This window comes from Homo sapiens, chromosome 2 (assembly GCF_000001405.40).
Source record: "Homo sapiens chromosome 2, GRCh38.p14 Primary Assembly".
Taxonomy (NCBI): domain Eukaryota; kingdom Metazoa; phylum Chordata; class Mammalia; order Primates; family Hominidae; genus Homo; species Homo sapiens.
This window is the reverse complement of record NC_000002.12, coordinates 173,211,874-173,228,689: the sequence shown is the minus strand read 5'-3', so window position 1 is coordinate 173,228,689 and position 16,816 is coordinate 173,211,874. Positions and strand designations below refer to the sequence as shown.

At 38.3% G+C, this 16,816-nt stretch overlaps 1 protein-coding gene and 1 long non-coding RNA gene across 9 annotated transcripts in view, besides 1 other annotated feature; one reads left to right on the top strand and one right to left on the bottom strand.

The window, feature by feature from the left end:
- The window catches only part of MAP3K20 (mitogen-activated protein kinase kinase kinase 20), a 192,499-nt gene that overhangs the window by 39,326 nt on the left and 136,357 nt on the right, over nucleotides 1-16,816 (bottom strand). For 4 of the 8 annotated variants that reach the window (XM_017004324.2, NM_133646.3, XM_047444748.1 and 1 more), the window contains exons 11-12: nucleotides 11,440-11,575; nucleotides 1,544-7,540 (exon numbers count right to left, since the gene is read on the bottom strand). In XM_017004324.2, the coding sequence (XP_016859813.1) occupies nucleotides 7,160-7,540; nucleotides 11,440-11,575 (517 nt within the window). In that variant the 3' untranslated portion in view covers nucleotides 1,544-7,159. Of the gene's footprint in view, nucleotides 1-1,543; nucleotides 7,541-11,439; nucleotides 11,576-16,816 lie in introns of those variants that run through there. The other 4 variants (XM_047444746.1, NM_016653.3, XM_047444747.1 and 1 more) reach the window with 1 other exon arrangement.
- Nucleotides 1-16,816, top strand: part of MAP3K20-AS1 (MAP3K20 antisense RNA 1) — an 84,325-nt gene that overhangs the window by 53,347 nt on the left and 14,162 nt on the right. The window contains exons 3-5 of the long non-coding RNA NR_033882.1: nucleotides 12,854-13,064; nucleotides 14,194-14,410; nucleotides 15,899-16,021. This is a non-coding gene — a long non-coding RNA (MAP3K20 antisense RNA 1). The remainder of the gene's footprint in view (nucleotides 1-12,853; nucleotides 13,065-14,193; nucleotides 14,411-15,898; nucleotides 16,022-16,816) is intronic.
- Nucleotides 6,469-6,568: an enhancer, noted in NCBI's record as "active region_16764". NCBI's record gives its function as "activates an Ori minimal core promoter by ATAC-STARR-seq in GM12878 lymphoblastoid cells {active_cell/tissue: GM12878}" and the evidence as "EXISTENCE:reporter gene assay evidence [ECO:0000049][PMID:35858748]".

Here is a 16,816-nt window from a genome sequence, read left to right as displayed (position 1 = left end):
AAGGAGCTTTCAATTTAACTGGGACTAATACAGTTATAAATTATACCTGGGGGATTCCAAGGTCACCTGAATCTCGGTTTACTTAATGCCTAACATAGTGCCTGGCATACGGTATCTGGTAAATTTTTGTTGAGTCATTTTAAAGAATGAATAAAATTAAAGGGTGCATTTACTGGAATGCTAAGTTCTCTGGTATAGAGTTCAATGTCTATGGGTATACCATAGACAGATGTATTCACAAAGGGATTCATAAAATAAGATGGGAGAATGGAGGGCAGCACGGCTTGAGCTGGGTCCTTCAGGGCAAGAAGAGAGGTGATTCCGGGTAAAGAGAAGCAACAAGGCAAAACCTGGCATGGCGGGAGAGGGAGGGACAGGAGGGAAGGATGGGAATGGAAGGCAGTGAGTTCATGTTGGAGGAAAAAGGGTAAATGAGGCAGACAGGGTGGGAAGGCAAGCGGAAAAACCCACTAGCTGAAATGGATATGAATGTTTAGGTTTGAGTATTTATAGACAAGTTGTCAGGACATAAAGTACACACTGAAATCGATCCTGTTCTGCGTATACTCTGCTACCTGCATGTGCTTCCCTTCCCTCCAGGGTTGCCCTTGCCTCCTCGGAAACACTTGAGGTGGGTAGGAGTCATCACACACATTCACTTGCTTTAATAATGGGGAAAGGAGAAAGATTTGAGGAACAGAATCTAAAGCTGAACTGGATCAAAGAAAAATAGGTGACAATTTTGTCTCTTCACAGGGCAGCTGGACACAGCTGCAGAATCATGCCATTCCCTTCTCCCATCACAGAAGCAAATGTGAAATACGAAACTTTTTTGGTTCGTTCAAGAAACAACAGTCTGAGTTACAGAAATATTTTCCTGCATCAAGGCTCACCTTTATAGAAACTGGGTTGGGGGGAGGGGATGTGTAGTGTTATTTTTATAAAATTCCTAAATGTTGTACTAAACAAAATTGAGAAAGAAGTATTTTTTTGAATAGAATAGAAGTTGTAAATGAAATAACTAATCACAACCAGAATCTTTGGTTTTAATGTTGAAAGGAGAGGGGGTTGGTTGCACACTGAGGATGGTTCTCCAATACGATGCCTAGGGAAAGGCACTGGCTTCAGCTGGACGCTCACTCCAGCAGGATTCTTTGCACAATGCTAGCAAAGATCAGTGAGAGGAAGGCTGGAGCCAGGCACTGCTTCATGACAGCTTGAATTTGGCAAGACGGGGGATAAGAGTTAATGATCTCCAGCCACAGAGTGGCTTACCATTTCCTTTATGTTTTCTGTACCTTGTTAACATATCAGTGTATCTGCTGTAGGATGAGTTCTAAGCCTTTCTTTCTTTAGGGAATAAAAAAAAAATCCACCCCATGACTGTCCCATCACTTTACAAATTTATTATTTACACTCCCACTGACTTTAGGAGAGAAAAGCTAACACTTGTTTGCATGCGTGTGACAACGATTCCTTCAAAGGATGTTGGGAATCCAATCTAACAGGGATCTTATATACACAGCAACACGTAACAAAGGGATTTACTGTCAAAACGTTTATTGCAAAATGGAGTCTTAGAACAAAGGAAAGCAAAGAAAAGTTCACATCAAAATGAAATGTATGACACCAACTTGGATTTCTGAATACACTGTGGACTTTGTGCTGGAATATCAAATTCCAACTATAAAATCAGTAACTGAAATAGTCTTACCACACAAGAGTAAAATTTAATCTTCCATACAAACATTATACAAGATATTTGGCATAGGACTTGCTCAGAATAACATTGCAATAGAATAATTGAGAAAAAGTTTTTGTTAAAAAAACAATAAAGTGATAATGCCATCTATTCAAAGCTCACACTCAAAGAATATAAATATTTTCTATTATTTAGTACAAAAATTTTAAGAGTGCAAAAGCAATATGTGCAGTGTATCATATCTGACATTAAAAGATATACTATTCTGCACACAATATAAAATAATTAATGTAGGTGCTTGGAACTCTAGTTTTGAAGTAAATAATCACATGCCAGAAAGCTCCTCACAGGCAACAGAGTGCAAACAAAGGTGGAGTCTGAGAAAACACGGCTAGTCTTCTAGATTTCCTGATGGATACTCATTTTTCATCATAGAAATGCTGTATCTAGAGCTGTCAGGCTATGCTACAATCGAGAGGAGAGAATAGATTTTTATGTCTGGCGATGCTTAACACTTAAACAGGAAAACAGTCTTACTCAAAAGCAGCAAAAGGTGCCTGATTATAGAAAATTTATGCTCTGTTATATATGTGGTATGATGAAACTCTGCTACTTTCAAAAGGCTGCAATAAGTCTAGTACAATAATTTTTTAAAGTATTAATATTTAACTCAGAATAAGTTTTAAAACTGTCTTTCATAAAACTCTTACCATTCCAATGAAAACTCTGAAAAATAAAGTTGTACGCACAGTAATTCTGGGAGGTCATTCTGGATCACTCCTAAACCCTCCCCCGACCCCTAATTCCTTGATTTTTAATGGGGATCAAGTTTGACTACCTTAGCTGGTGTTTAAAAGTCTAACAAATTCACTGCACGTTAAAAATCACTGGTTAAAAACCCACCCTCAACATTTCCAGAGCACCAAAAACAGTGAGCTGTAGGCTTTCAACGTCTTTTCACTGGTTATGTAAAATAGTAAAATGTAATTTTGCTTTCAAAAATGAGTAGAAAAAGGAGGCTTTAAATTAACCTATAGAACTGTAGCTATCTCAATGAGTTTTTTTTCTTTTTTTTTTTTAATTGTGGAATCAGTGTAATGGGAAAGTGACCTGCCCTGGTGCATTTGGCTGTTTCATCAAGTTGCCACCAGCATTTCTAAGGAGAAAGAAACCATTTTTAGGGAAATGGTGATTTAAGATAAAGCCACGAAACTCACAAAATTCAGGTCGTATGCTGCCGTAATTCTAAAAATACATTTTGTTTTGACTTGGGTAATTTTGTTCAGGAGAAAAATAATTAGAGACGAAACTCTAAAGCTTCTGGATTTGATAAGTTTGTCAGTGGGGAAGGGACAATGCTACCGGGTTGTTTTTTTTTGTTTTTTTTTTTTTTTGAGATGAAGTCTCACTCTGTCATCCAGGCTGGAGTGTAGTGGTGCAATCTCAGCTCACTGCAACCTCTGCCTCCCGGGTTCAAGTGATTCTCCTGCCTCAGCCTCCCTAGTAGCTGGGGTTACTGGCATGTGACACCACACCCAGCCAATTTTTGTATTTTTAGTAGCAACAGGGTTTCACCATGTTGGCCAGGCTGGTCTCGAACCCCTGACATCAGGTGATCCGCCCACCTTGGCCTCCCAAAGTGCTGGGATTACAGGCGTGAGCCACCGTGCCCTGCCCCTTTTGGATGGAAGACTTTACTGAGCACACTGTCCCTGGCATTCATAATGTTACTATTCCTGGCACTGGGCAGCAAATGCCACCCCAGTTGCTGTGACAACCAAAAATGTGCCCTAGCCCCAACACTCTCAAACACCATTCGGTGACAGCACCGCCCCAGTTGAGAATGACTAGGGAGGGTCTCATCAAATTCTACAAGATAACTTTATGAATTAAGAAAAAAAGATGAAAGGTGAGACATTTTCAGTTGCATGTCTCTGATAATTATTCCCACAACTGAGAGATTCAATTATCATTTTGAATGTTTACATTTCTCACTGTTTCTTTTAACCTCTAAATGTACATTTTTGTAAATCAAGTAGTTGGAACTAAATCCAACACTGATAATTGCCATTTCAAACACTGATCTGAAAAGTGAATTAGAAGCTGTACAATATCATCATTAGAAATTCTGCATATGGCTAATAAATATTCCTTTTAAAATTAATAGAGTCTAAAGTCTTCCAAATGATCTTTACAGATAGAGTGGGACACTATAGAATTCTGATTATATGATTTAGATTTTAGGGATGTTTTAACATTTTCAAACCACTAGAAGGACATTGGGAACAGAAAGTAATAGAGCCAACGTCACGTGGTAATGATCAATAGTCCAGTTCTACGAGGAGAACAATTTTAAGCTCTTCACTGAGGCCAATTCTGCTGTATTCTAATTCCTTTTAGGTTCTTGGTGGTAGAGTAATGAGCTATGACCATCTCTGGAATACTGGTGAGGAAAATGGCAGCAGTAAAGAAATGAGGAAAATATTACCTAATTAATGATAAAGTTAGGTCCAGTACAGAGTCCTGTTATTTTTCTCTTTGGCCCTATTTGGCTGCTTTTATTAATGCATCAGAACTTTATGTATAATCATATGGATTTATACATAAATTAAGAAAAAATGTCCATTTCATTCAGTTCATATGTTCTAAACGTATTGCTGATCATTCTTAAATGAGACTCCAGGTTTACATTCTTACATAAAGTGCAGGGATCCCGAAGTTAGCCCCAAAGATCCCCTTGCCTTTTTCAGACTTGCTCAAATGTTACCTTATCAGTGGGGCCTTTCCTGACCACACTTTAAAAACCTCAACACCCACCCATGGGCCTTGTCCTCCTTCCCGGCTTCATTTTTTGGCATATACTTATCAAATGTGAACATATGATGCATTTGCTTTATTTATCATCGATCTTCACTCACTGGCATGTAAGCTCTGTGAGTGCAAAGATTTTCATCTAGCTATCTTCCAGAACAGTGTCTGGCACAGAGAAGGAGCTCTATGAATATGTGTTGAATGAATGACTATCTTTGCCTTGTAAACCCCATGCTATTGGCTCTCTCTTCAGGTGGCTGACCACTGCACCCCAGGGCATGCTGGAAAGACAGGAGTCCCAAGCCCTCCCTTCTGCTCTACTCCAAGCTTTTCTTCTTGGGTGCATTGACTCAAGTCAGGTAGTACTTCTCTATGTCTGAGCACAGACAGGCTGTGTTCATGTATTTGTACATATGTGTGAATAGACAGAGAAACTAGTAGCATGGGTATGTGGGGGAATCCATCTTTTAGGGAGAGATTTATCTACTGTTTTTGTGTTTAGTCTCACCTCAGACCAGGTTAAGCTGGCCAGGGCTCATAGTTTTCAAAGAGCAACAGAAAAAATCTGTTTAGCTTACATTCTAAGCATGTTCTCTTTATCTTTCCTGAAAGCTATCCACTTTTAATTTCATCTCATACTACAGAGAAAATATTATTTGAAACTGATAGCTTTCCAGAAGGTTACTGAAATCACTTATTTTTCAGTGTCTTCACTGGCACCATTCATAGTAGCTAACATTAGCCACTTTCCGTGGGCCTGGTGCTGTGTTAAAGTGCTTTACATATATTATTTCTTTTAATCCGCACAATGATCCTTTCAAGTAGGTACTGTTATTATTCCCACGCTGAAGATCAGCAAACAGACGCACAAAGATAAAACAATTTTCCCAAGGTTGTCAAGCAACTGAGCCCAGGATTCTGAGTGACAGTCAGACTCTGATCCCTTTCTTCATCACTATGCCACCTAGACTGCTGTACACCTCACACCCAGAACTTTCTACTAGTTATTTCTCCCCAAATGAAGCTGGCACAGCATACTGATCATTATGTGGTATTTTTCACCTCTCAAGGGGCATTAGAAACACGTCACGCTTCAAATTCCAAGAGGCTTTTAATGATCAAATATAGTTAGAAATACTGTTAGATCATATCTATGATGATGTCCTTTCTTTAAACTTCCATAAAAAGACCCACCAAAAATATTTTGGTTTAACAGTCAAATAATGACACTCCTTTCTAATTTAGTTTGAAAAAAGTCTTAGTTCTTTTGCCTCATATATATAATTAAAAGTGTTTTATAATTTAAACAAGCTTTGACAAACAGGTGATAACATTCTGAGAATATCCTTGGCTAGCCAGGTTTTCAGAGCAGTGCCTGTATCTACTTCTAAAACACCAACATTATTAAGCAGGGTTAAAACAAAAAACAACCCTGGTAGGCTAAACTTGATATGGAAAGGACCTGTGCTTTTGCCTAAGTGAGGATAACTTATCTTTACTATTTCTTTTATAATATTTAATTTCCTCTTTAAAATAGCTGAGCATATGCTTAGAATCCTGGATTATTATGCCCCTCTAAAAAACAAACCACCACACATACCCCACTTGCTGGAAAATACAGGAGAGGCATGAACTCACCCCCCTGGAAGCATCCCCTTAAGACCACCTCTTTCTCTTTGTATAAAGCACAAGCACAGCCTTAAATGACAGTGTGTTGTTAAGAGGCTTCCATGGCCAGCAGTGGTATGAAAGTTTGCAACATCTGCTGTTGGTTTCAAATCAGGGTATTTTTCCTTCAAATACATTACTGAGAACACTGCTCAGGCTTTACTTTGAGCAGCTGTGCTCTTTAGTACTAAAAATTCTCAGCACTTAGGTATTTCTGAAGAGCATTTTGTTATAACCTTCTTAGATCATCTCAGTATTGTTGTTGGATTTTGTACTATCAATTCTTTCTTTTTTTTGTTTTTTGAGACAGGATCTTGTTCTCTTGCCCAGGCTAGAGTGCAGTGGTGCCATCATGGCTCACTGCAGCCCTGACTGATTGCTAGGTCTCAAGCAATCCTCCTGCCTTGGCCTCCCAAGTATCTGGGACTACAGGTGTGTGCTACCATGCCAGCTAGTTTTTTAATTATTAGTAGAGACGAGGTCTTACTAGGTTGCTCAGGCCAACCATTTCTGATATTACAGTGTATTGCTATAAGAAAAAAAAAGTATGTCACAGAATTACTACGTGTCAAAGAACAATTAGGAGTTAAGAGTGTTTGTTCAAAATGTAAGTTTTTAAAAATGATTTGAATAAAGGAAATAAAGTCAAATACAAACTAAAAAGTATTCATTAAAAGAAAAAGCCAGAATGTCACAACTTTAAAAGTCCTATATTGTATATAGGATCACAAATTTCTATAATCAGGCACCACATTTGCTGATTCATAAATATACTTCTTTGGCTTAATTCTCCCCCCGTTTTTCTGTAAGCAAAAATAAAAGTAGAATTGATAAGAAATTACGGTCATGTAAATGTGATTGGCCTAAAAATGCAGTGCTTGGCTTTCTGCCTCCTTACTGTTTTTGTACAGACTGAGATAAACAAGTTACTTTTGTGTTTTCCAAACATTTGTGATTTTATTACTTTGCTTTCTGCTTTCATTCACTATTATCCATGTCATTATCCTCCTCCTCACCGTCATCATCATCATCATCGTCACCTTCTGACAAGTCAAAATCACTGAACCCCAGAGCCATGTTGACTTTCTTCCCCCTTCTCTTAGATGTGGTTTTGGAAGAATTCTGCTTGGCTTGCATGTTTATCTGCATCCCAGAATGCATCACAGCTCCTGCTTTGTTCATTGAGAAGATATCCCCAAAGCCCATCAGCATCATGGCCTGCAGACTTGGGTTCATGCCATGGCCCTCCCCGTTACTTGTTGCTGTGATCTGACATGACATCTCTGCACTGTTTGACTCCTCTGTTTTAGATTCAAAGTAAGACTCCTCAGACATTCTTGCAGCAAGAGGCAAGAGAAGCTATCAAAAGGGAAGAAAGGACAGAAGTAAAAAGAGAAATTAGGACCAATTTAAATCAGGAAAATAGATACCACAAAATTAGTTGGCACTACACAGGAGGTAAATGATTAGTGAAATAAATGAATGTAGGGAATTATGTGAGAATTTATTTAATGGCAGATTTGGCTCCAGCATATTTGCCATAATTTATGAATGACAGGATAAATCACAACCAAAAGTTTGCAAAGCACCACAGCAAGCCAAATTTCAAATGGAAAAGAAGTTGCAAGTTTTAAGCCCTCATTTTGCTTAAAACAAAATAGTTTCTAGGATTTATCTTGACTTTTCCCAATTTCACTTTCATAAGGAAACATTTAGTTGACCATTATATTTTTAAAAAAATAAATTAAGCAGAGATTAAATCTCAAATGAAAAATTAAGAAACTTTGTACCCAAAAGAAAAGCTTAGAGGAAGCACAAAAAACAGTTCAGCAGTCTATACAGTTCTAGGGAAATGTGGGTTATTAACTCCCTTTTTATCTGGATTAGTACTCTGAATATACACTAAAAATTAGTCTAGAATTCACTTGCTTCCACTTATTTATTTATTGTAGCCAGAACTGATGTAATACTATTTATTCAAATTATTAAATAATTCACTTGTGAACAAATTCTAGATTCTGTCTCACATTTAAGTTAGACGTAAGTATGTAAACACATGAAAACTGGGAAGAAAGGAAAATAGTGTTAATTTAGATTGTTCTAATACGCTCTAATATTCAAGTTTTCTTCTTTCAACCGAACTTTTTTCTAAGATGTCACCACTCACAGTGGTCACAGACATTATCTTCTACTTTACGTAATTATTTTGAACAGCCAACTTATTCCCATAAATGTTTGGGCATATCTATTTCAGGGGTAAAACTGTTAGCACATGAAAAATGTTACTGCCTCTTCTTTTGAGAAACAAGCAAATCAAGGCTTATGTTTTTGGCATAGTTTCAATATGGATACATTTATGATAAATAATGTACAAATAATATACTGGGATGACCTCTATATTCTGGTACCTAATATTCAGGATCAGTTTCCTTTTTTTTTTTGAGACAGAGTCTAGCACTGTTGCCCAGGCTGGAGTGCAGTGGCACTATCTCAGCTCACTGCAACCTCTGCCTTCCAGGTTCAAGCGATTCTCCTGCCTCAGCCTCCCAAATAGCTGGGATTACAGGCGCCCGCCACCACGCCCAGCTAATTTTTTGTATTTTTAGTAGAGATGGGGTTTCACTATGCTGTCCAGGCTGGTCTTGAACGCCTGACCTCGTGATCCACCCCCCTCAGCCTCCCAAAGTGCTGGGTTTACAGGTGTGAGCCACTGCGCCTGGCCTCAATTTCCTAATTTTTAAAGTGAAGTTGGAGCTGAGTTTTTGAAAAGTAGCTTGTTCTTTTGGGAAAAACCCTCCTGGAGTTGTTAGTTCAATAACTTTAATTTCATATAATTCAACTCAAAGGTATCCATTATATGGAAGAAAACAATTACTTTAGATCTTTAAACATTGGAAACAGGATGTTATTTCCCTTGCAGTCAAACTTCTCAGCTTCTGAAATTCGTTTTCAATTGTTAGATAGTCTCAGGAACTCTTTGTGGCTCATTGCATTATTTTGAGGGTCCTTCCTCACATGAGGTTTGACTCTAAAGATCTCTATAAATGTGTCTCAGATAAGCCTATATTCTTAAAATAAATAAAAAGTTTACATCAAGCTTCAACTATAATTAGAAAATAAACATCCATATTTATGCATAAAGGATTAATCTCCCCAAATATCCTTAACTAATGTTTTAGTTTTAGGAAAGAAAATAGTGCCCTTGAAATTAATTCAATGATACAATTTTTTATGAAGTTACATAAATGTTAAACTTACATAATTAAGATGAGGCCACCTACAGGAAAGCTAAACCTCCAGCCACTTCCTTTTTAAAATGTTTATTTCATCTTTCTCTAAGAAATCTCAGTTAAAGCTAAACAGAAACTGATGTGAGGACAAAAGAAAATACCTACTTACAAAATATCTGAACATAAACTTTCTTTCCTTCAGAAATACCAGCTCTAAGCAGAAGACACATTAAAAGCAAGTACTGTAAAGAAAGAAAACTTATCTCCCATAAGGAAAAAAGAAGAAAATCTCATTGAGATTGTGCTGCAGGCTGTCCATTGTTAGACGGTAGCCCTCAGAGCAGTTCCTTCACAGAAAGTTTTGTGGGGTTAAAAACTCAAGCAGGCAACCTACCGAGCACACAGAGCCTTATTGTAGAGCACTTTATTATTTATTACGCAACTATGTTACTAAGAGCAATAATGTGTGCAAGGCAGCCCATTTCTTAGCAAAACTGATGCCAATAAACTAAAGAAAGGTTCTGAAGCATATATGAATGGGTAAAGTTTTTTCTTACAATACTACATTTAGAAAGAGTCAAGCCATGCAATGCTTTACAGCTTTAGATTTCAATGCATTTTAAAGCAAAACAAAACCTCGCAGACTTCAGAAGCTGTGCTCTAGGGACGAGGTCACATTTTTGCTCCTGTCCCTCATGAGCTCTGGGAGAAGCACTGCTCCTGTGCAGATCCCTAGAGTGAGGCTTTCAGAGGCTGCCTGCTGCCACTCAGCCAGAACAGGAAACTTCCCTCATCGTCTTTCTCACAAGCCAAGTTAAATTCACAGATAAAATGTGGCACTTTTAAAATGTTCCATGATAGTGTTAGGGATAGCAATTCAATTCATTTTGGAATTCCCTGGAGAACCAAAGTCCTTTTTTTCCAAGTTGAATCTGATAATAAACATTTAGCTTCATGGTATTTTCCTTTTTTGGATATCAGGTTGCTTCTCCACACAAGTTGGGAAGGAGACAAACTATTTTATTCTTTAGACACTGGAAAATACTTTGCAATTGGGCACTGGCTGCTTAATGAAGATTAAGACTTTTAAAGATAGGAAAGCTTTTTGAAGATCACAAAACGAGCGGCATTTCAGTATTTTTTGGCATCACCATAGCAACTATCAAAAATGAATTTAAAATATATGTTTACTTTTAATCTACCATTACTTGGGTAATTTTAAGTGAACAAATATTGCCCATTAAAAACCCTGGGAAAAAAAACAATTATAAATTTATACTTAATTCCTGAAAATGTTATGCCATTTAAAATAGGAAAGAATGCTAAAATTTGATTAGACTTGAATAATATATCAGCATGTAAGCTCAAGGTTAGTGTATAACCAGTGAAATGCTTAAAAATAATTTTTATATTCCTCTAAATACAAGACTTGGGAGAAAACAAGATACTGCCTAGGTGTAATAAATACTGAAAGCTTGTCCAGAGAGAATCTTTTTCCAATATTTTGCTGCCCATGATCATAACACTAAATTGAGTACGAAATATTAATGCTTCTCATTTGCATGTCATCATGGTTAGCTCCATTTTAGAAGGAAAACATGGTTAAGTTCTGACACATCAAAGACTCTGTTAGTCAGTGAGCTGCTGGAGTTACAGTTATTAATGACTGAGTGACTAGAAGGAGTTAATCAGCACCGAGGTGCATGTTCTGAGACTGAGCAGATGGTGTGAAAATACATCGGATTTTATTATTGTAATTCTAATATATAAACACACTGACAGAATAACAGTTCTTAAGGAAGGAGCCAGAAATAGGATAAGCTTTTCTTTTAAATCTCTGGCATTTTATTAATTGAAATTAGGTATGAACGCTGCTTGAGTCCACACGCGGGCCCTTTAATACACGGGCGCGAGGCAGGAAATGAGGAGGGGGCGGCGGGAGGCAGGGGAAGAGGTGCCATGCTGCCATGCTCAGCTGCGCAGCCTAGAGCCGCATGTGGAAAGACGGCGAAGGGGGAGGGTACTCACCGGGGTGTTGGACTGCTCTGTCAGCTTTTGCTCCCACATCTTTAAACGTCTTTCTCGTTCTTTAAGCTCCTGCTCCTTAAAGCTGAGATCACGCTCTAGTTTCTTTAGCCTCTCAAGAGTTGCCTCAATTTCGCACCTGCACGGGGATAGCTGGTGTAAGTCTCAACTTTACTTAAGAGACATCAAGCGCTTAGTGGGTCCATCAGAATGCTAATCAAAGTAAAAGACACATGCTGGTGCTTTAAAATCAACCAGGTAACTGCCGGAGGAGAAGGAATCTTTCATGTCCTTAAATATCAAGGGTAGTTTCTAGCTTGGAAAAATAAGCTCAAAATATTTCAACAAAGTGTTGAAGGGCCACTGGGGTGCAGCATAACCTATGGAGCTGGTGTCCTGGTACAGCCATTTAGTAAATGCTTACATTTATCTAGCTTTTTACAGTTCATAAGTGATGTTATATATGATCTCATCTTATTCCCATTAACAGTCCCAAGAAACAGGTATTAATCTCATAGTATAGGTGGGAAAATGATATTCAGGTTAGGTGGTCAACAACACACCATCAGTAAGTGGTTGAGATGACACTTTAGGCTACACATTGGCTGAGTAACCCAAGCAATCAATTGACTAACCTGTCTCAGTTTCCTTGGTTGTAAGGGGTGGTGGTTATAGTACATTAGGGTTCTCCTACCTGCCTGATCCTTAGACTTACATAGGCAACTTGTTTTTTAAAAAAAAAACACACCAGAACCCAGCAAAACATGGATTTCTAGGACCCTTCCTTAGAGCTCATGAGTCAGTAGGCCTGGGTGGGACCCTGGAATTTTCATTATTTTATAAAAGACCCGAGTAATTTTTACAATCAAGCAAGTGTAGAAAACCCTGGGCCAGATGAACTCTAAGGTTCCTTTTAATTCTAATAATTTTTAAAGGAAGTTATCCCCTTTGTGCCTATAGGCCAACCAACCTCACCACTTGGAACCATGTGCCATGTTACAGAAATCTGTTCTTCACAGAAAGTGGAACTGGTACCATGGCTCAGCACAAATGTTTTTCTCCTTTAGGGCTGTTGCAATGTTTAAGTCTAAATCTATGTTTTGAAAACTGGAAGCTCTTTCCCTTGAGTTTCTGAAAAGCCTTTAAGTAAGCCACAATACTGAGAGAATGAGGGAGAGGGGAGAGGGAAGTCAAGGCTAGAGAAGGCACTGGAGAGAAGGATGCAGAAGAAGATGGGAACTGGGTGACTATTGCAGAATAGCTGCTGGGTGCTGCCAGCTACTGCTTCCAGGTGCCACTGAGGCAATCCTGTGTTGTGATGGCATAATCATGATTGAGACGTTGACTATGGAAGGTAGAAGCCCCCACATCTAAGTTAATGAATATATGTAACCAAAGTCTGCCTTTTTCTTTCTAGGGAGAATAAGAGTAAGTGAACAGTTTACTCTTACTGGAACATTCCAATGCTCTTACAGATAATAACTAAGTGAATGAAAACAAAAAGTTCAGGCATTCACTGGCAAAATCCAACTCTGAACAGGTATGGAGGTGGGTCTGGATTTGGCTCAACATTTCACTTCGCTACTCGTCTGAAATGCACCTCAGAGCAAGGGAGGCAGCAATCAGGTGTAAGTAGCTTCTGCTGCACTGCCCACAAATATCAACACCCTGTGCCTTTTACTGGTGCCATCTGAAAAATCATAAAAGGCTATAAGTCCCATTACTGTCCCTAAAGAAGGCAGTGAATCAGCAATTTTTCAGAATTATGACTGTACCATAAAATCCAAATTTTATCCCTGATATTTCTGACAAAAATATTATGCCTATGCACGTAAACAAAGTTTTTATTTTTCAATGGAGGACTGAGGGGAAAAAAACGTGAAAAACCTTAGGGTAAATTTTTGTCACAAAAAAAGAAAAGAGTGAGCCATCTTCAGTCAGTGAGGCGGTCAGAAGGCAGCAAGGAGGTGGTGGAGCTGGGTGCCCTCAGTGTGCGATGGCAGAGGCCTGGGGACAGCATCTACACAGCGCTTCTGCCGACCCAGTCCCCACACCCCTGCCAGTGAGACAGATTGACTGATGTTCTTTTAGACCAGGGTAAATGGCCACTACATTCTATTTCACTTGTAATTTAAGCCAAAGATGCATCTCAAGTTCCAGCTTTGAGAGCCTACTGCGATTTTGAGCACTTCCAGAAAACAGATCAAGAGTTAAATGGACGGAAAGCTGTGACACAGAAACAAACACCAAGTAAATCTCCTTCCTCAATCTGTCTCTCAGGCTCAGCTTTCCAACAGCACTCCCAACACTGCAGAGTCAAATCGTGTGTGAGGTTATATGCCATTAGAGATGTAACCCCAACCTGGAGATGACAAAAAAAACAGCTGCTCCCTTGGTTTTTTTGGTGCATTGTTGTGCATCAAATGCATTTGTTGATATATTTATATAAACTTCTTGTTCTAAAAATATAGTTTAAATGTCTTAGTTGATGAAAATTATGGTCTTCTTGTAAGCCAAATCCAATCAAGGTCAATGTCAACTAGTATCAATTTTCCATATGCCAAAAACAGGCAATGAACCGTAATTATCTTCTTTCCTCAGATAGAAACTTACTTTGAAATAAAAGGTCAATTTGTAAAAAGAGTGATATAGAATATATATTACATGATAAATGTATAATCTGTTTATTAAATGTGTTATATATTACATGATTTGTGCAATTGCAAAGGTTACATTTTTGATCTCTGGTTTTTTAAGAACGCACGTCATGGTGAGAGTACTTTGGTCACCACGGGAAACACAACCAACCAAGTGTTTTGCCAAGAGACACAGATCGGAACGCTCATCACAACACTGCATGGCTCATTCAGTGCAGGTTGCCACAGGTCTACAGTCACATGGTTAATGAAAATCCAAAACAGGACCAACAGGATGACACATTTTCTGTTCTTAATGCTCATTGCCATTATTGCTAGTAAGTCAATGGGAGGAGAAATAAGCTGAAGATCTGATGACTGAGGAAAAGTCTGACACTAGATTTTGTTCCTATCATTTATTAGGTCAAAGGAAAGAACACAGTTTATGTGGTTTTTAATAATGTAGTTTTAAAAAGAATTTCAGAATAACCATTCAGTTTTCTAAAAATACAAGTTGCATCTGGTCTGTATGTAGAGGAAGCTCTGCCAGAAAATAATCATTTGCCAGAAACACCACAGCAGGATTGGAATCAGGCTGCACTGTGATCACGGTGACTCTAATTTACTAAAACACTCTTTGGACACTAGTCATGTGGTTTCAGACACTAGATAAAAGTTGGGGGGAAAGGGGAGTAGTCTGAATGTGTTGTCTTTTGAAATGTTGAGATTATCTGATAAAAACATATAATTCTTTTCAGCAGTTTACATATTGAGTTAGACACCTTAATAACCTAAAATGATCATGCCCTGTAATATTTCTCTTAGCTAAAAAGGAATTCAGTCAAGTGAATATTGCATGCTAATGAGAAGACAGCACAACAACGGCCACAAGTCTAGTAACCGCACTGTACAGCATGGGTGCAAGGGCAGGCCTGTGCTACCAGACCACCTGGGTTCTGTTACTGTATTCTGTACTGGGTTCTGTTCTCAGTTCTGTATGATTTTGAGCAAGTTACTCAATTTACCTTTGCATCTGTGATATAATTTAGGGTTGCTATGGGGATTAAAAAAGAAAATCTAAATGAAGTACAGGCATCTGGTAAGAACCTAATAAGTGACAACTGTGTTTATTATTAAAATTACTATTACAGTCCTGTTTTTAACCAATTGCCTGCTTCAGTGAAAACAGCTCTACTGCTTCTCAAACTGTGGTTTACTGGTTCAGGTCAAGATATATATTCTCTCTCCAGCTCTCAGAACAGGATTAACAGTTCCTGAAAGATGAGGAGGCCCCTTAGGCAACTGTACGCCTTTTACTAAAATACTTCACTGTCTTGTATCTCCTTTTCCCCCCCGTTCTCAATCATCAATTTTATTTCCCTCACTTTCATCTTCAAGCATTTTAAAAATTGAATTTATCATCCAACTAGTCCATGTTTAATGTGGAAGAAGTAGGGAATAAAGATATACAAATAAAAAACACTCTCTATAATCCCATTACCCAGTGATAACACTGACTTTTTGATACTTTTCTCTGTGTACATATACACAATAATATATATTTATTTTATAAAAAATAGAAACATTCTAAACAAACTAGACTGTAGGGTCTACTTTGAAATCATTTATCAGATCTGTGATTTTAGGAATGATCATATTCTGTATATGGAGATACCATCATTTTAAATTTATTTTAATTCTCTGTTTATTGCACTTTATACCATTTCTGGTTTACCCTTTTCAGTGATGTTTTGCTGAATAAGTGTCCCTACATTTTTGCACAGCCTTCTCATTTCTTTTCTTTTTTTTTTTTTTTTTTTGAATAGGATCTCACTCTGTAGCCCAGGCTGGAGTGTCGTGGCCAGATCTCGGCTCAATGCAGCTTTGACCTCCCCAGCTCAAGTGATCCTCCCACCTCAGCCTCCCGAGTTGAGTAACTGGGACCACAGGTTAGAGTCACAATGCCCAGCTAATTTTTAAATTGTGAGTAGAGATGAGGTCTACGTTGCTCAGGCTAGTCTTGAACTTCTGGGCTCAAGCAGTCTTTCACTTCGGCCTCCCAAAGTGTTGGGATTACAGGTGTGAGCTACCACGCCTGGCCTTGTTGACATACTTTAAAAGACTCCCTATCTTGGTATTAAAATCTTACTAATCCCTTCGGTAATAGATCAAATAGCATTTTCTCCAAAATCCTTTTACTATGTCCTTGGACTAGATCAGATTTCATGGCCATATGCTCTCAGACATCTAGTATATTTCTCTGTCATAATACTTGTCAAAATAGAAATGCGATAGTTTTGAATATATTTAATAGTTTAACATTGGACACTCGGGCTGGAGAGCTCCACATGCCCTGGGACTCTTGTGCTCATCGCTACAGCCCAGTACCCGAATGGCAACAGTCGTTCTCACACCAGCAGAAGTTCAATGAATGGATAATGAATGAATGAACATAAGAAGTACTTTTGTCATGGCAAACATACATATTTATATTCTCTTGTATAATATCACAATCTCTTTTTATATTATTACCACCATGGTAATTTTCTCTCTTGCTTCCCCAAATATTTACGGAGCAAATGCTGTGTTCAAGGCACATTTTGATGCTGTGAGTGATGAACAAACGTGATTGTCTGCCTCTCTTATATTTCAGCCCGTGAGACACACATTAAACAACTAACTGCCGAATTACTTCTTTTTTTTTGAGACGGAGTCTTGCTGTGTCGCCCAGGCTGGAGTGCAGT